The 17901-nt window shown below is 50.4% G+C and overlaps 1 protein-coding gene across 18 annotated transcripts in view, besides 4 other annotated features; it reads left to right on the plus strand.

The window, feature by feature from the left end:
* Positions 1–17901, plus strand: part of TBC1D14 (TBC1 domain family member 14) — a 123649-nt gene that overhangs the window by 100601 nt on the left and 5147 nt on the right. For 15 of the 18 annotated variants that reach the window (XM_011513508.2, NM_001113361.2, XM_017008477.2 and 12 more), the window contains 3 exons: positions 587–715; positions 4382–4491; positions 14938–15196. In XM_011513508.2, the coding sequence (XP_011511810.1) occupies positions 587–715; positions 4382–4491; positions 14938–15196 (498 nt within the window). Of the gene's footprint in view, positions 1–586; positions 716–4381; positions 4492–10934; positions 11264–14937; positions 15197–17901 lie in introns of those variants that run through there. The other 3 variants (XM_047416001.1, XM_047416002.1, XM_047416004.1) reach the window with 3 other exon arrangements.
* Positions 4198–4317: an enhancer, noted in NCBI's record as "active region_21270". NCBI's record gives its function as "activates an Ori minimal core promoter by ATAC-STARR-seq in GM12878 lymphoblastoid cells {active_cell/tissue: GM12878}" and the evidence as "EXISTENCE:reporter gene assay evidence [ECO:0000049][PMID:35858748]".
* Positions 5762–6265: an enhancer, noted in NCBI's record as "H3K4me1 hESC enhancer chr4:7017555-7018058 (GRCh37/hg19 assembly coordinates)". NCBI's record gives its function as "activates a minimal SCP1, AML or CMV promoter by ChIP-STARR-seq in naive H9 embryonic stem cells {active_cell/tissue: H9 hESC(naive)}" and the evidence as "EXISTENCE:reporter gene assay evidence [ECO:0000049][PMID:30033119]".
* Positions 6266–6769: an enhancer, noted in NCBI's record as "H3K4me1 hESC enhancer chr4:7018059-7018562 (GRCh37/hg19 assembly coordinates)". NCBI's record gives its function as "activates a minimal SCP1, AML or CMV promoter by ChIP-STARR-seq in naive H9 embryonic stem cells {active_cell/tissue: H9 hESC(naive)}" and the evidence as "EXISTENCE:reporter gene assay evidence [ECO:0000049][PMID:30033119]".
* Positions 11662–12239: an enhancer, noted in NCBI's record as "H3K27ac-H3K4me1 hESC enhancer chr4:7023455-7024032 (GRCh37/hg19 assembly coordinates)". NCBI's record gives its function as "activates a minimal SCP1, AML or CMV promoter by ChIP-STARR-seq in naive H9 embryonic stem cells {active_cell/tissue: H9 hESC(naive)}" and the evidence as "EXISTENCE:reporter gene assay evidence [ECO:0000049][PMID:30033119]".

Consider the following 17901-nt stretch of genomic DNA (forward strand, 5'->3'; position numbering starts at 1 on the left):
AAAAGTCTCGTGGTAAGTGAGTTAAGTGAGTTGACTCAGGTTCCTCTTAAAGAAATTGAGCTGTCGTGGCTGCTCTGGGGCATTAATCACATTTTAATCGAATGCAATTTTCATTTTTGGCATGTGACTTTTTTCCAACATTAAATCAAAGAAACCTTAACCACGTTAAAAGCAGCAACCATTAAAAAGCACTGCTGATACTTCTGTGGCTTCGCGGATGTGTGTGCGCATGCATGGTTTGATATTAAGCTTATTGAGATAGATAACACAAGTCTACGGCACCGGGACACTGGACATAGGAAAGAGCAGTATTTCAGATGCTCTGGGCCTAAGAGGGCTGGTTTAGGGTTTTCCATTTGCGGGGTGGGAGCAGGGGTGGGAACTGAAGGAGAGCAGGCCGGGTGGCTGGGGTGGCAGAGTGGTGGTTCTGAGTGAGGGCAGTTCAGCGTTGGGTGGCCGGAGGAGTGGGGCGGCTCTAGGGACACTTCTAGTGTGAGGGTGGTAGGTTTGTCTTTGCTAAAAATGAACACACTACGGTGACCCTGTGGCCACTGTGATTTTAACGTGCCTTTCTCTCCTCTCTCAGGTCCAGGGCATGTCCTTCATAGCAGCAGTGTTGATCTTGAACTTAGATACTGCAGATGCCTTTATTGCCTTTTCTAACCTTCTGAATAAACCCTGTCAAATGGCGTTTTTTAGAGTGGACCATGGCCTTGTGAGTATCCTCTGTGTTCGGGCCCTGGGTACTGTGTCTTTAAATGTCAAGAGTTGCTTACTCGTCTGTGTTTTCGGTGGAAAAAAAGAATACATTTTCTCTCTGTGAAGAGATGTTTAGAGTAAGCAGCACTGTAAGGTGGAGGATGATTTTGAGCAGCGTATTGCATGGAAGCTGAAAAAGACACGGTTAGTAGCCGTATGTCTGGGTTTCTTAATACGTTCTCTCAGAAAAACATTACCTGTATTTTTGAAAATGTATTCTTTTAATGAAGGAAGAAGTGTGGCTCCTGCTTAAACTTAACACACACTTGGTGTCAAAGTCACAGCTTGATGGCAGTGCCCACGTTTGGGCCTGTTGGGTAGAACATGTCGTAATCGAGCGGTGTTGCTGCTCATTGTCACCCTGCTTTGTGAAGTGTGCCCACACCCGGGAGAAAGGAGACACGCTGGAGACCATACTCCTTTATTTTTTAAAAGGCAGCCATTTGTTTAGTGGACCGCTCTAGTCTTTATGACACTGCGTAAGTGGGAGGCGGTGACAGTGGGGGGTGGTGACAGTGGGGGGTAGGGTTTACATGCCTCCCAGATAAGCCCTCTGCGCAGTTCAGGTGAGGAGATAAGGCTCAAAGTGAAGGGACTCGTTCAAGGCATGCATCTGGTAAGTGGAGGAGCTGAGATTTGAATCCGTTCTGGTTCCTAAGCCCTTGTTCTTTCTGTAGCATAGAAGTCACTCATTTAATAAGCCCATCAGGGTTTTTTTTGTTTTTTTTGTTTTGTTTTGTTTTGTTTTTTTGGCAGGGTCTTGCTCTCTCACCCAGACTGGAGTGCAATGGTGCCATCTCAGCTCACTACGACCTCCGCTTCCTGGGTTCAAGCAATTATCGTGTCTCAGCCTCCCTAGTAGCTGGGATTACAGGTGTCTGCCACCATGCCAGGCTAATTTTTTGTATTTTTAGTAGAGATGGGGTTTTGCCATGTTGGCCAGGCTGGTCTTGAACTCCTGACCTCAAGTGATCCACCTGCCTCGGCCTCCCAAATTGCTGGGATTACAGGCGTGAGCCACTGTGCCCGGCCATCACTGTCTGATTTGCTGATAATTATTACCAGTACTTCAAGACTAAAATGATCTAATACTTTAGATCATCTAGGGAGTATTTCTTCCTTGATATCTTAAGGTTTACTGAGTATGTCTTGCTCAGATAGTACATACATAAAGTATTTAAAAGCTGTTGGTTGGCCGGGCATGGTGGCTTACGCCTGTAATCCCAGCACTTTGGGAGGCCGAGGAGGGCGGATCACGAGGTCAGGAGTAACACACGAGGCCTGGCTAACACAGTGAAACCCCGTCTCTACTAAAAATACAAAATAATTAGCTGGGCGTGGTGGCAGGCGCCTGTAGTCCCAGCTAGTCGGGAGACTGAGGCAGGAGAATGGCGTGAACCTGGGAGGCAGAGCTTGCAGTGAGCCGAGATTGCGCCACTGCACTCCAGCCTGGGCGACAGAGCGAGACCCCATCTCAAAAAAAAAAAAAAAAAAAGTTGTTGGTAAATTTGGTAGCTATTACTGGGACTGTAAATTGGCACAGTCCTTTTGGAAGACAACTTGGTATTAAGTATCAATAGCTGTAAATAGCATTGGTGTGCAGTTCTGCTCATAAGAATCACTTCTAAGAAAGTCATAAATGTGGACAAAGCATTATGCACAAAGATAGTCATTACACACTTATTTACAATTGTAAATGTGAGAATAGCTGAAATGAGGTTAGGAGAATGCAGAATGGTAAATTAAAATTTGGTAAGTGATCAGTAGTGATGCTTACAAAGAGCTGCATTGTGAGAAAGTGTTCAAGATGTTAATTCAGTGTATGTAAGATAAAACGTAAACTATAGTGACTGTTGTATTTAACAATAAAAGGAAATATGCCACAGAATTACTAGTGTTTATAGTTTTTTGAATGATGGATTAATAGTGTTTATGTGTTTCCTAAGTTATCTACAGTGAGTGTTTACAGGTATGACTTTCATAATCAGGTAAAAACTTACCTTTCCAAGAAAAGTAATGGTCAGAAACAGAAAATAAATCTTGAGGAAGCGTTCTTACTCTTGAAATAACTCATTGGCACAGTATATACTGGCCTTACGTTGCTTGTGATATTAATTCCTGAAAATAATTCCTGCATGTAAATTTAATTTTATCTTTTTATAAATAAATACATGATTCCCATCTAAGTTTCTGCTGATTTTGAAGATAAGACCCCAGCTTTCTCTTTGGAAATGTGGTAGAAATTGTGCCTAGGAATCATAGCTTGTATTTTGAAGGAGAAACCATAGAGTCATAATGTTGAGTGGGGTCTTCATGACAGCAGCAGATTTTCTCCCTGGCAGCCCCGTTGAACTTAGGACTGTGTGACTCTGCTGGGGGATGTCCTGTGCGCTGGAGGATGCTAAGCAGCTTGCCAGCCTCCATATCCCCGTGCCAGCAGCACCTGCCCCCGGTTATGACGACCAGAAGTATCTTCACATTGACCAGTGTTGCCTTAGAGACCAAATCACTCCCTTTTGGGAGCCACCGTCTACAGTAGAGCCCCTCCTTCGGATGCACAGACACCAGAGTCGTGATCTGCCCCCAGGCGCCCAGCTGGTGAGCACTGGAGCAGAACTGGGCCACTATCAGACGGGTGCTGCCCCCAGTCCAGCTGGAGTTCTTTCTGCTGTCAGCACTGCTTCCCAGCTTTGTACATTTTGCTTCCTTAAAAAACCGTCCACCGTTGGAAAGCAAGTTCCATAAACTACGGGCTGTAACGCCCTCCTTTCCTCCTTTCCCTGTAGTGTTTCCCCCTCGTTGCATTCAAAGGTGTGCCTCTGTCAGCTGGAGGGGTGCTGCCGTTGACTCAGACATGAGTCGTGTAGCCCCCTGGAAGTGCCAGGGGTTGGACGAGGCATGCCTGCTTTTCCAGATACTTTTTTTTTTTTTTTTATGAGATGGAGTCTCGCTGTGTCGCCCAGGCTGGAGTGCAGTGGCGCAATCTCGGCTCACTGCAAGCTCCGCCTCCCGGGTTCACGCCATTCTCCTGCCTCAGCCTCCCGAGTAGCTGGGACTACAGGCGCCCGCCACCACGCCTGGCTAATTTTTCGTTTTCGTATTTTTAATAGAGACGGAGTTTCACCGTGTTAGCGAGGATGGTCTCGATCTCCTGACCTCATGATCCACCCGCCTCGGCCTCCCAAAGTGCTGGGATTACAGGCGTGAGCCACCGCACCCGGCCTCCAGATACTTTTACACGTTCATATATTCCTGGTTTTTAGGAAAGAGTGAGTCTGTACAGGCTCCACCTTTGCAGCGGGACAGGCACAAATTCATTCCCAGCTTCACCACCTACAAAGCTTGTGCCCTTATTTGGCAAGTTCCATAACTGCTTTGGGTTTCAGTTCCCTTTTCTATGAATTGAAGAAGATGAGGTGTAGCTATTGATGTCATTGTGAAGATTAGAAATAGTGCTTGTTTATAATTTGAATAGTACCTACAATAAGTTGCCATTCAAAGTGTATTAGTAATTACAGAAGAAGGTAATTGTTAGAGTCTAAAGATATACATATATTGACTTTTTTGTAAATTGAAAACTTGTGCAGATAGTTTCTGAGTAAATTTCATATTATCTCCCTAGATGTTGACTTATTTTGCTGCATTTGAAGTATTCTTTGAAGAAAATTTGCCGAAATTATTTGCGCATTTCAAGAAGAACAACCTAACTCCAGATATCTACCTAATTGATTGGTAAGACTGGCTTTTCCCTGTGTTTTCAGAGCATTTCTCAGCCCTTGTCTGTTCTTCACTCTCTTCTCTGCCAACTTCTTCATGGCCCGGCTGAGTCCTCATATCCTGCTTTCCAGCCTTCCCTGATGGCCCTGCCCTTGAGTTTTATTTCCATCAGTGCCTCCGCCTGGCCCTCCTGAATTCCCTCAAGGGGAGAAATGGTATCTTGGGCCTGTTTGTTTCCAAAGTGCTGTCCATTCCTTAAAGGACCCGTCCTAAGCACCCGGCCTGTGCAGGCCCTCGCTGGGTATAGAGGTGGCCTGAGGAGCAAGGGCAGCGCTTGCCTGTCAGGAGCTCCTGGCTTGTGGGAGACACGTGTGTCCATGGACACTGTCCACGTGAGATGAGTGCCGTCTTGGAAGGCAGGAGGTCCTGGACCCAGCACAGGGTTCAGAGTACATAGAGCGAAGGTGACAAGTGCATGTGCCATTCCAGAGTCAGCGGGCACTGTAGCCAGGTCTGGTGGGGTAGAGGTTGAAAGTAAAGGGCAGAGGACGGCAGGCGATGAGGTGGGGAGGCCAGGTCACGGTGGCTCTTAGACCCAAGCTCTGGAGCTTGGGCAGGATTGCGGGGCCAGGGGGAGTGGGAGAAGGCTTCTGCTGAGGATGAGGGTGGGGCAGATCCAGCGGCGAGTTTTAAGTTACCTGGAAGGCAGGAGAGCCTGGGAACAGAGAGACCAATTAAGGGGGAAAAAGCTGAAGTAGGTGGAGAGAAGGCCCCGTGGAAATATTGTGGGTATGTCAGAGAATCATGGTCAGCTCTTGACTGCGGTTGGGGAAGGGGTTTGCTGATGCCTTCAGCTGAGACCAAAGACAAAGGGAGAAGATTCGGCCAGGGCAGTTAGTGGATTTGACTTCAGATGGGTGATTTTGAGGTGCCTGCGGGACATGTGAGTACAGGCATCCTGAGACAGATACAAGGATCCTGAGAGGTCTACGCAGCAGCATTGGGCCAGGCAGGTCTTCATGCTGTGGTGAAAGGGGTTGCTGAGGATGTGGTGTGGCTGTTAGCCCAGAGAGCACCATGTTTGAGGGCCAGGTAAGAGGGCTGGGAGACCTGTGTGTGGAAGGGAGCAGCCTCTCAGATCACATGGTGGGAAGAGGGTGCCTCCGGGATCCAGCAGCCCCAGCCCAAACCCAGCTTCTCCCATTATTGCCTTGTGGTCTTGGGGAAGGCTGTGAAGCCCGGCTGAGCTCCCAGTTCCTTATCTGGAGGCCACAGTGATTCACCCCACAGGGTGCTGTAGGGTGACCGTGCGGCACCACCCGACTCATAGAAGGGGCTCCGCAGAAGTAAAGAATGTACTATTCGACCAGAAAGGCACGTTCCACTAAATCGTATGGTAAATGTCAAACCACTGTGAACAGATAGCTGGCTGGTTTGGTTTTGTTGTTGTTGCCCACTTTCTTCATCAGGGAAAAGGCCTTCTGGAAGGTAAAATTCAAGTATCATTTGAAAGGAAGCTGACCCTTAGCTAAAGCAGCCTTGTCTGTGCCCTTAAGAGTGTGCCTTTGGGATTCTTGGTTTGTTGCTTCTGTCCGAAACCCTGGACTGTTCTCACTCCACTGACCTTTGCTATGAAGGACGAGGGTTTTGGAGGTTGAATCTTGTAGCTGAAGCCACAAGGCGCTGGTGACAGGACAGTGAACATGGGGCCGTGAGTGGCGCTGGCGGGGATGCTGGGCTGGCCTGCCTGGCTATACTGGGTAGAAGTGTTTAGGGCCTGCTTTAAAGGGGACCTTTATTCAGCAAATGGTGATTTTCTTCACAGCTGTGAACACAAAGCTCCTGCACAGGCTGCCCCACCGTGTGCATTTGACTGCGAGCCCTGCCCCTCAGATTCCTGGCTGGGGCCCGCGGTGCTGGAGGACGGGAGGGGATCCAGGCAGGACCTGAGCCTTTAGCTTCTCCCTTATCTGTTTTAGGGCTTCTGATTAGTTTCTTAGGATTCTAGGCCAAAAGTCAATAGTGTCTTTCAAACTTTTCCCACCTTTACTTGCAAAAGGAAATGTGTTTTAAATTGTGACCCAATGTGTGCAGAAACTTAACACGTACGTATGCTGGGAACGGTGGTTTCATGACCCAGTACCTAACCCTGACCATGTGAAGCATTCTGAAATATTGTACTTTGTTCTATTTATTCCAAAAAATGCTGGTGATAATCTGCTTTCGTTGCCTTCGTGATCCACTGGCTGTTGTCTGGGTCATGCCTGGCAGTGTGAAAAGTACAGGCCTGGAGAATAGTGTTGTCTGCTTCTGTCCCAGCCTGAAGATGGTTGTAATCCATGTAGGGGCAAAGACAAAAGGCACCAGCGTTTTTTGACTCGAGTGCTTCTCACACATGCTGTCTTTGAACCCTTGGAACAACCTCTCCAAGCCCAGTGTAACACTTGTGTTTTATAGAGGAAAAAAACAGGCTCAGGGCGGGGTGCACTAGCTCACGCCTGTAATCCCAGCACTTTGGGAGGCCCAGGCGGGCAGATCACATGAGGTCAGGAGTTCGAGACCAACCTGGCCAATGTGGCGAAACCCCGTCTCTACTAAAATACAAAAATTGGCTGGGCATGGTGGCGCGTACCTGTAATCCCAGCTACTTAGGAGGCTGAGGCACGAGAATCATTTGAACCCAGGAGGCAGAGGTTGCAGTGAGCCGAGATCACACCACTGCACTCTAGCCTGGGTGACAGAGTGGGCCTCTCTCTCCAAAACAAACAAACAAAAAATAAAACTGAGGCTCAGAGAGGCAGAGTGCCTTGGCCAAGGTCCTGATGCCAGCCAAATGCAGAGCTGGAGTCCGGACTCAAGTCTACCCGGCTCTAGAGCTGTGCACTTTCCCTTAGAGTCCTTTCTAAGGGGGTTTGTGTGAGGCAGTGTCACCCATAAGATGGGTCCCATAGCTCAGGTTCCAGAGACAGGAATAGCATGTCGAGTGTAGAACCTGGGTTGGACTGTCAGTAATGAGCAGTGAGGCAGAGTAAATGAAAAGGAAGTGGCAAGGGTTCTTCACTGCTGAGGCCTTTGTGCTGTGAGCTGGTTGGTGCCCAGGGCCTTGTGAATGCTGTCCACTGTGCTTTGACGAGGCCTCCACAGGCCTTATTCTTGAAGTGCTGACTGTGTTCTAGAATAAGCACCAGCTAGGATACAGTCTGTTTTCGCAGTTCCAGTACAGGGCAAGGCATATAGAAAGGCATTAGTAAATATTTAAGTTGAACTAAGCACAGGAAAGCCATGTATTCATGACTTATTTCCTGAGTCAGCATTTATTGGTGGTCCGCAGTGATTCAGGCTCCTTGTTGGGTGCTGACAGTTCGGTGAAAGCTCAGATCAGAAACAGGTTGGGCAGTAGGGAGGAAGCAAAGGGGAAGAACAGACTTTACATAAGACCTGTCCTAGAAGCTGCCATTTCAGAAGCACTCGTCACTGTGGTCTTCAGTGTTCAGGAGCAGGTGTACCTATTTCTGGGCACAGAAGAAGTCACTGAGGCCCATGGTGTGAGGTCCAGGTTGGTTTGCCTTCGGGGTCTTTGCTGCTTCTGCTACATCAGACCACCTTTCCCAGAGACACGTCCACACCCATCACAGCTGGGCCTGCCTCCACATTATGGGTCTGCACTGTGCCTGGCGGGGTATAAAGCATGCTAAGTTCCAGGGCTCAGCAGCTAACTGCCTGAGCAAGAGAGCCTTCCTCCTGCTCGCGGCAGGGGCTGAGGGGCCTGTGGGTGTGGCCAGCTCAGCGTCCTGGGTGGGCTGTGTGGGTAGCCCATTAAAATGGCTACACTTTGGGTCAGAAAAATCTCCTGTCCTGCCACACTGCCTGCCCACCAAACCTGCTCCCCACCGCCCCAGCTCCACCCACTCTCTGAGGGTCCCCTCTGTCAGCTGCTGCCCCAGTGGTAAAGCTTCAAGAGTCACCTCTGTGTCCCCAGTGCCTGGCCCCATGCCTGGCTCAGTGTCCTAGGTCAAAGAATGCGTCTGTGCCTGAGGGTCACCTTCCTCGGTCCCTTTTCCAGTGCACCCTGTACGCTGCCTAACCAGTGGCTCATGAGGAGTCAGGGCTGAGGGTTCGCTGTCCTTCCAACACCGCCTTCCTGGCCGTTCTTTAATTGTGGCTTGCCACTCCTCCCGATGAGGCATGTGGATCAGAGCAGGGGCCCTTCAGCTGTCTCCGTCTTCCTACAGAGTTTTCAGTGTTTCGACTGTCAAGCATCTACATTTTGTAGGACTGACTTTAGGTCATTTCACTTCTGAAAATATTTCCCATTGCCGGCCAGTGGCAGAATTATCTAGAGGTGTGAGTGAGCTTTATAATAAATAATCTTGAGCTAACAAAAGAATCGGGGACTACATTCCATGTTATGGTTAGCGTTTCTGAAATTATGTTTAATGATCCTTGGAGATGCTGTCATTGCCTGGAGTTTCCATCTTTTTTTGTTGTTGTTGTTGTTGAGATGGAGTCTCGCACTTTCACCCAGGCTTGAGTGCAGTGGTGGATCTCGGCTCACTGCAAGCTCCGCCTCCCGGATTCACGCCATTCTCCTGCTTCAGCCTCCTGAGTAGCTGGGACTGCAGGCGCCCGCCACCACCCCCAGCTAATTTTTGTATTTTTAGTAGAGATGGGGTTTCACTGTGTTAGCCATGATGGTTTCGATCTCCTGATCTCGTGATCCTCCCAACTAGGCCACCCAAAGTGCTGGGATTACAGACGTGAGCAACCGCGCCCAGCTCGAGTTCCCATTTAAAAGGAAAGGTTCAAGGGGGAGTGACTGTTGGGAGGTTTCCGTTTCTGCTGCCTCTTGCACTTGGGTCGTCTCTGGCCTGTCAGTTCTGGGGTACAGGTTGCCCCACGAGTGCCTTAGGAGCCGGGAGCATCTTGCTGAGCACGTCTGGCTTAGGTTGGGTCTTTATGGGCATGTGGAGGAGGGAAGAGCGTCCCCTGCCTGCACTGGGGACCTGCTCGAAGGGAGGGGCAGCAGCCTGTGCATCGTTGGCACACCCTGGCCTGGCTGAAGTGGGAGCCTGCATTCTCATGCGGTGCTCATGATGTTTACTTTCATGTCTGTTGGCCCCTGCCAAGTGCTGGGACAGAAAGACTGGAACCCTGCTGGGCTCAGGTTAGGGAGGACTCTGGGGCACAGAGGTGGGTATGTGAACCCCGCTGGGCTCAGGTCAGGGAGGACTCTGGGGCACAGAGGTGGGTATGTGAACCCTGCTGGGCTCAGGTTAGGGAGGACCCTGGGGCACAGAGGTGGGTATGTGAACCCCGCTGGGCTCAGGTCAGGGAGGACTCTGGGACACAGAGGTGGGTATGTGAACCCCGCTGGGCTCAGGTTAGGGAGGACCCTGGGGCACAGAGGTGGGTATGTGAACCCCGCTGGGCTCAGGTCAGGGAGGACTCTGGGGCACAGAGGTGGGTATGTGAACCCCGCTGGGCTCAGGTCGGAGAGGACTCTGGGACACAGAGGTGGGTATGTAAACCCTGCTGGGCTCAGGTTAGGGAGGACTCTGGGGCACAGAGGTTGGTATGTGAACTCCTCTGGCCTTAGGTTGGGGAGGACTCTGGGGCACAGAGGTGGGTATGTGAACCCCACTGGGCTCAGGGTGGGGAGGACTCTGGGACACAGAGCTGGATATATGTCTAATTGCTTTCAGAATCAAGGTGAGCGCAGTTTATGGGTTTAACTAAGTTTGAACTGAGTCTTAAGTAACCATCTCCAACTTTTAACAAATGGGATTGTGTGTTTGGAGTTTAATGTTGCTTTATTTAAGCTTCACAAAATCTAATGAGGCTCAGTAGTAACCCTGTTCTTACCTAGCACTGTCTAATCTAACTGTTGATGTTTCTGGGAATACAGGGAGCCCTGTGGTTGGGGGAGGGGCGGAGTGCCATTCATGAGCCAGCCTGGGAGTGAGGGCGCCTCCTTAGCAGCTGGTCAGGTTGGGAAAATGGGGACACAGCTAGAAATTGGTAATGTTGGGCCTTGAAGGTCCAAGTTGCTGGTTTTGGCTTCTTAATGGGTGAGACTACCTGCTGACTTTCCCTTTTACTTTAAGCTAGATCTGCTTTTCCACAGCCTCCCTTTATTTGGTTGAGTTTTTTCTTGTTTTGTTTTGTTTTCTTTTCTTTTTGAGACGTATTGTCACTCTTTCCAGTCTGGAGTGCAGTGGTGCGATCTTGGCTCGCTGCAGCCTCCGCCTCCCAGGCTCATGCAGTTCTCCTGCCTCAGCCACCCAAGTAGGTGGAATTACAGGCACATGCCACCATGCCCAGCTAATCTCCCTTTATTTGTACTGTCCTCCTCTGTAAAATGGAAAAGACGATTGTACCTCCTCTTGGGGTTGTAACAAGGATTCAGATGAACAGTCCCTGTAAAAATGTATGAAACGAGCACTTTCTGTTGTGTGCAGCCCGGGGCCCTGATTAGTAGACAGGGCAGAGGCCAGTTCTGTTCCGTGGATGCCGTCTTCCTCCTTCACGACAGCCCTGAACTGCCCTCGTCCTTACCCCATGGTGCTTCCTTGCCTCTAGCAAGCTCAGACAAGCAGGCGGAACAGACCTGGCTAGGTAAGAATTTTCTGGAAGTTGTGAAGACACATCAGCAAAAACTGCCCCTTTCCTCCCTCACGTATCACGGGGGAAACAGATACGCAGCTTTTGTCTGGGGTCTTTTCTAAGCTGAGAGACACGTCATTTGTTTAGCGACATAGAAATATATCATTTTGGGCTGGGTGTGGTGTCTCATGTCTATAGTCCCAGCACTTTGAGAGGCTGAGGTGACAGGATCATTTTAGCCCAGGAGTTCAAGACTAGTCTGGGCAACACAGTGAGACCCTATGTCTACAAATAACTTAAAAATTAGCCGGTGTGGTGGTGTGTGCCTGTAGTCTCAGCTACTCAGGAGGCTGAGCTAGGAGGGTCACCTGAGCCCAGGAGGTCTAGGTTGCAGTGAGCCGTGATTGTGCAACTGCACTCTGGCCTGGGCGACACAGTGAGACCCTGTCTTAACAAAAAGAAAAGAGAAGAATTATGTTATTTTGCATTAGTTGAAGTTGTACTTGAAATTACTTTTTTTTTTTTTTACTTTTAAAAACATACTTTTATTTATTACTTTTAAAAAAATACCATTTTTGATCTACAACGCAATAATATGCAGTGGTCGGAGGCAAAACGTAAACATCTTTTGGGAGAGAAAAACCCTTGAATTCTGTCTTCCGACCATGGGAGGAGTACTGAGCCGTCTCTGGGAAGGCCAAGGGGCCCTTCCCGTCCTGCTTCTGTGAGCCTGAGGGCAGCAGGGGAAGGTGGACCTTGAACCAGGAGGGCCGTGTGGACAGTAGCCCCCTTGTTCCGACCGGTTCTGATCCCATGGCAGGGCTTCTTTGGGGCCAGGACAGAGCCTGGTGTCCCCCTTCAGTGGCCTGTTCACGGCTGGCTTTCAAATCTAAATGTGGTTTAAAATAAAGCCCACATTTGGAAGCTCCTGATAATGATGTGGGAGCACCTCTGAGCAGTCCCTGCTGGAGGAGAGAATGGGAGAAGAGGAGCCTCAGTTCAAGACTGTGGGGCGGGGTCTCTGCCCTTGAGGCACTTCCAGCCTGGAGCAGGGGACAGAAGTGGCTTAGGACGGTGCAGAGCTCTTGGAGTGGAGTCCAGGGGCTGGAGAGGCCATGGGGAGCCCTGACTGGGGCAGAGGGCCTGGGAGCTGCTTGCTGAGAGGCCTGCCAGAGCCTGCAAGGCCCAAAAGATGCAGGATGGTATGCGAGGCAGAGGGAAGTGTCCAGGAGTGTCAGGAGCGTCCCTTCACTGACTCAGTGTAAAGGAAGGTGAAGAATGCCAGGGCCTCATGAAGGAGGGTGCGTGCAGTGCAGCGTGAACATTTCAAGGAAACTTGGTCCAGCCTGAGGGTCAGGAAATGACCTTCCAAGAAATAGTGACACACAGCATGTGGGAAGAGCCTGCAGGGGACAGAGGCTGATGCCAGGAACAAGCCCAGAGGCCGCAGTGAGTAGCCAGGCATGGTCGCAGCACGGCGTCAGCAGTAAGCATGGCCAGGAGGTGGAAGCTCATGGGATTGGAAATGGATTTGTCTCATGGAAATGCAGAGCAGGGGGCATCGTGGGCATAGTGAATGGCATTCTGGGTCATTCCAGTGGTGACTTAATTTTATAAAGTTCATTACCTGTCTAGAGTAACTTATGGAGACTCACACATAAATCTCAGCTTAAGAATATTATGTTAAATAAAAAAAAGAACAAACTTTAGTTCTTTGGGCTTGGGGGGGTACATTGTAGAAATCTCTTTTGTTCTCTTTGCTATAAAAACTATTTGACTATATATATAAAATATGTATGGGTATAAACTATATAAAAACTGTTGTTTTGGCTGGGCGTGGTGGCTCACGCCTGTAATCCCAGCACTTTGGTAGGCTAAGGTAGGTGAATCACGAGGTCAGGAGTTCAAGACCAGCCGGGCCAAGATGGTGAAACCCCATCTTTACTAAAAATACAAAAATTAGCCGGGCATGGTCGTGGACGCCTGTAATCCCAGCTACTTGGGAGGCTGAGGCACAGAATTGCTTGAACCTGGGAGGTGGAGGTTGCAGTGAGTCGAAATCGCACCACTACTGCACTCCAGCCTGGGCGACAGAGTGAGACTCCGTCTCAAGAAAAAAACAAAACAAAACAAAAAACATTGTCGTCTTTCCCCATCCGTTTTTTTCTCAGGACTCTGCTTTTTAGCAGATGTAGGGAGAGTCTGATTTCCATGTGTGAGTGGGCACACAGAGATAGTTGTGCAGGCCGAGTGGACTCTCCTGCCCTTTCTCATAGTGTTAACAAGCATGCTCTCCAGGTACAATTGAGAATATTCTCTAGACTAAGGAAACAAAAGATCTCTTTGTTCTTTCTTGAACTGTACTTTCTAGACCAGGTGGTGAAATGGTTTTCTGGTTTTGAAACAGCAAGAAGCTCGGGCTGAAGGCTTGTGATTTTAGAATCAAGCTTCCTACCAAGCCTGCGACGGTGCTGCTGCCTCATGGTGTGTGCTGAGGCTCAGACATCAGAGCGTGGGCGTTGGAGTCAGGTTCAGAGTCTGGCTCGGGACTTACTGGTGGTGAGACCTGGGTCCGTTTAGCTGTTGTCCTGAGGCGCGGTTCTGTCAGGTGTAGTGAGATGAGAGAGCCCGTCTCCCGGGCATTTCTTGATGCATGGGGTGTCCTTCCGGAGGGGCTCGCATAGCACACAGCGCCCGGTGTGCGCCCAGCTTCTGTTGTTCCTCTAGGTGCAGGTTTTCCCTGGCATCTGGCTCTCCGTTCCCTCCTCTGAGTTGAATGAAGTCTAGATTTTTAGGCCTTCCTCGACTTTTACTGTTAGAAGGTTCTGATGAGGGACAGCCTGGAACATTCCTGCTCTCATCTAGGAGCTGTGGGCTCTGTGCAATGCACGTCCATAACTGCATGTCCTCGGGACCTGGAGGACAGGCCGCATCTAACGGAGCACCCCCCGGCCGGAGTCCACTGTGGGCAGAACCCATGCCCCTGTCACTTGTGAGCAGGTTGACCAGTGTGCGGGGTTTTCTGTGGAATCGTTATGGGAAAGTCAGGGTCACACTGTGGAAGCTTTAGTGGCCTGACCTCCTGACCGAGTCAGCCCCTCAGGCCGAGTCCAGTGCCTGCAGTTCAGGGGCTTTGTGGGCCCAGCACTTTCTCTGTGCCAGCACAGGAAATACTGAACTCCGTAAGAGAGGTCCTCCAGGAGGGGTGGAGATGTCCCCACCCAGCTGGGGATCCCCACCTGTACCGAGCACTGTCAGTGTTGGGCAGGTTTTGAGAGCCAGGAGCGTCTGGGAAGTCCTGCCGCAGACAGGGCGTTGGAATTCAGCAGAGATTGCCGGACAGGGCACTAGATGTGGAGCTAGGGTGTGCCATGATGAGCACCAGGCTGGGGACCAGGAGCCTAAGGGCACCCAGAGGAGGAAGGAGCCTCGTGCATGCTCCCAGGGCGGGGGGAACCTGTGCAGTGGCGCCAGCATTGAGCCCCATAGCCAGGAGGAGCACCTACCGTACGCTTGCTCTGTGGGTGGCGCGGCGTACAGCGGCCCCTAAGACAGGATGCCTGCCCCCACAGCGTGAGCACACAGTAGGGGCTCAGCACATATTCCTTGCAGGCAGGAGTCGTTGCTGTCAGTCATTCGGAAGCTGTGTGCTGCATGATTCTGTGCGGAAGCTGATAGTGCTGTGTCCTGAGCGATGTTAGAATTACCCTTCAGTGTGAGTGCAGGCCTGGCCCTGGCCCCAGCTGTTGCCTGAAAGTGACTAGGGGAGTGTTTTTCATGGAATCAGACTGGAATTCACTGTTCTTTCTTTGTTAGGAGAGATTCAAAATCTGAAAAATTCCAACTTTTACCCCCTAGGATCTTTACCTTATATAGTAAATCTCTGCCCCTCGACCTGGCCTGTCGTATCTGGGACGTGTTCTGTCGCGATGGGGAAGAGTTCCTGTTCCGCACGGCCCTGGGCATCCTGAAGCTGTTCGAGGACATCCTGACCAAGATGGACTTCATTCACATGGCCCAGTTCCTGACCCGGCTGCCCGAGGACCTGCCCGCCGAGGAGCTGTTTGCCTCCATCGCCACGATCCAGATGCAGAGCCGAAACAAGAAGTGGGCTCAGGTCAGCGGGCTTTGTGTTCTTGGCTTCCCACAGCGTAGCCGGCAAGTGGCGCGACTCAGGAAGGCCCCTACGTAAAGTGCTGTCTGAGGACGTAGCCCCTTTGATGGAGTCCCTGGGCTGGAACTGAGGGGGGCCGGGTGGAGACGTGGCTGTGCCACAGGGCGTCTCGGCGGGTCGCCTCCTCTTTGGGTTTCTGTCAGCTGGATGGGGTGTGGATAATGAAAGCCTTCCCACCTCCTCTGCAGTGGCATTGGGAGGGTCAGCACTTGTATCATTATAGTGCTCTTTACATGTTAGAAAGTACTTTGTAAGCCACGTACCCCCCTTTTTAAAAAAAATAATGCCAGAGACAGAAAGCAAAGTGGACCCACTTACTGAGCCCCGTGGCCATGCCCTGTGGCAGGCTTTTGTGTGTGTCCTTGAGAAGGAAGTGGGATTACCCCCCTCTTACAACAAAGGGAGGCCCAGAGAGGAGGGCGCGGGTCCCTCCTGGGTCTTCCCATGCGCTGCTGTGCCCTCTCTGGGCTGAGTGCCCCAAACAGTGGCGCGGATAGTCCGTATCCCTTGGTTTCCCTCCAGGCATCCCTCCTAGGTCCTGTCCCCAGTGGGATTGACCTGCATTTCCTGTTCCGAGTCTTTGTCATACTAAAAAGGAAAAAAAAACCAGTTTGGGTTCTTGATCCTGCATACACTCTGCATTGGTTTGAAGTCCTTGTTGATTGACGTCTATGAAGACTTTTCCTTTTCTGTACGTGCTACACCATGCCTGGGGGATTTCTTTGTTTTGAGAGAGGGTCTCGCTCTGTCATCCAGGCTGGAGTGCAGCCCCCGCCTCCCAGGCTCAGGTGACCATCCCACCTCAGCCCCCCGAAATGTCTGTTCTTGATTTAACTTTTTTTTTTTTTAATGGAAGATTTAAAATATTTACAAAACTAGAACAGCATAAAATAATGCACCCCCACACGCCTGCTCTGCAGTGTCAGTGACTGTGGAAGCGCAGCGGCTGTTGGAGCTGCCTCCCACCTCTCCCCTTCCCACCATATTGAAGCGAGTCCCAGGCACCGTGTCACCTGTTGGTGTTAGCGATCTCTGACTCATATGGGCTCTTTTAACGTAACTGCAATACCGTTACCACTCAGCTACTAACTCCTTCCTATCATCAGATATCCAGTTTTCAAATTCAGATGTCATAAATGGCTTTATAGTTGGTTGGAATCAAGATCTAAATAAAGTCCATGCCTTGTGATTGGTTGAAAGCTCTGTTAAGCCTCTGTAATATCTATGCCACGCCACTTCTCACTTTTTAGCCCTCTCTTGCTTGCCTTTATTTGTCAAAGAAAACAGGTCATTTAGGCTGGGCACAGTGGCTCACACCTGTAATCCCAGCACTTTGGGAGGCCAAGGTTGGGGGATCACTAGAGCCTAGGAGTTTGAGACCAGCCTGGGCAACATAGTGAGACCCCGTCTCTACAAAAAATACAAAAATTAGCTGGGCATGGTGACGTATATCTGTAGTTCCAGCTGCTAGGGAGGCTGAGATGGGAGGACCATTTGAGCCTGGGAGGTCAAGGCTGCACTGGGCTGTGATTGCGGCACTGTGCTTCAGCCTAGGCAACAGAGGAAGACCCTGTCTTAAAAAAACAAACAAACAAACAAAAAAAACAGGTTGGCCAGGTGCAGTGGCTCACGCCTGTAATCTCAACACTTTGAGAGGCTGAGGCAGGTGGATCACGAGGTCAGGAGTTCAAGACAAGCCTGGCCAAGATGGTGAAAACCCATCTCTACTAAAAATACAAAAATTAGCCGGGCACGTTGGCAGGCTCCTGCAATCCCAGCTACTCGGGAGGCTGAGGTAGGAGAATTGCTAGAACCTGGGTGGCAGAGGTTGCAGTGAGCCAAGATCATGCCACTGCACTCCAGCCTGGGCAATAGAGTGAGACTCCATCTCAAAAAAACCCCAAAAAAGCAGGTCATTTGTCCTGTAACATTTCCCACTGGGGGAGAGTTTTATGGCATATACATATGTCACCCCCCCCACACACATCACACACCTATACGTACACAATCACCCCACACACACAATCACCTCCACGCACACACATTGCACATCCATTCACCCCCCATCTCACACACCCACACAATCACCCCCCACACACCTACACATACACAGTCACCCCACACATAGACACGCACAGATCACCCCCACGCACACTCATTGCACACCCACAGTCACACCCCTACACCTCACACCCAGTCACCCCACACACACATCACATACACAATCACCACACACCACAATCACCCGACACGCACATCACACACCCACCCACGCATACAATTACCCTACACAGTCACATCCACACACAATCACCCCACACACATCACACACCCCCACAATCACCCCACACAATCACACACCCACACAAAATCACCCCCCACACATCACACAACCACACACAATCACCCCCCACACATCACACACCCACATACACAATCACCCCACACACATCACACATCCATACACAATCACCCCCTACACATATCACACACCCTTAAATACACAGTCACCCCACACAGGCATACCCACACACACACAGATCACCCCCATGCACACACATTGCACACCCAGTCACCCACAATCACACACATACACAATCACCCCACACAGTTACCCACACGCACAGATCACCCCCCACACACACATT

Source organism: Homo sapiens, chromosome 4 (assembly GCF_000001405.40).
Source record: "Homo sapiens chromosome 4, GRCh38.p14 Primary Assembly".
Classification (NCBI taxonomy): domain Eukaryota; kingdom Metazoa; phylum Chordata; class Mammalia; order Primates; family Hominidae; genus Homo; species Homo sapiens.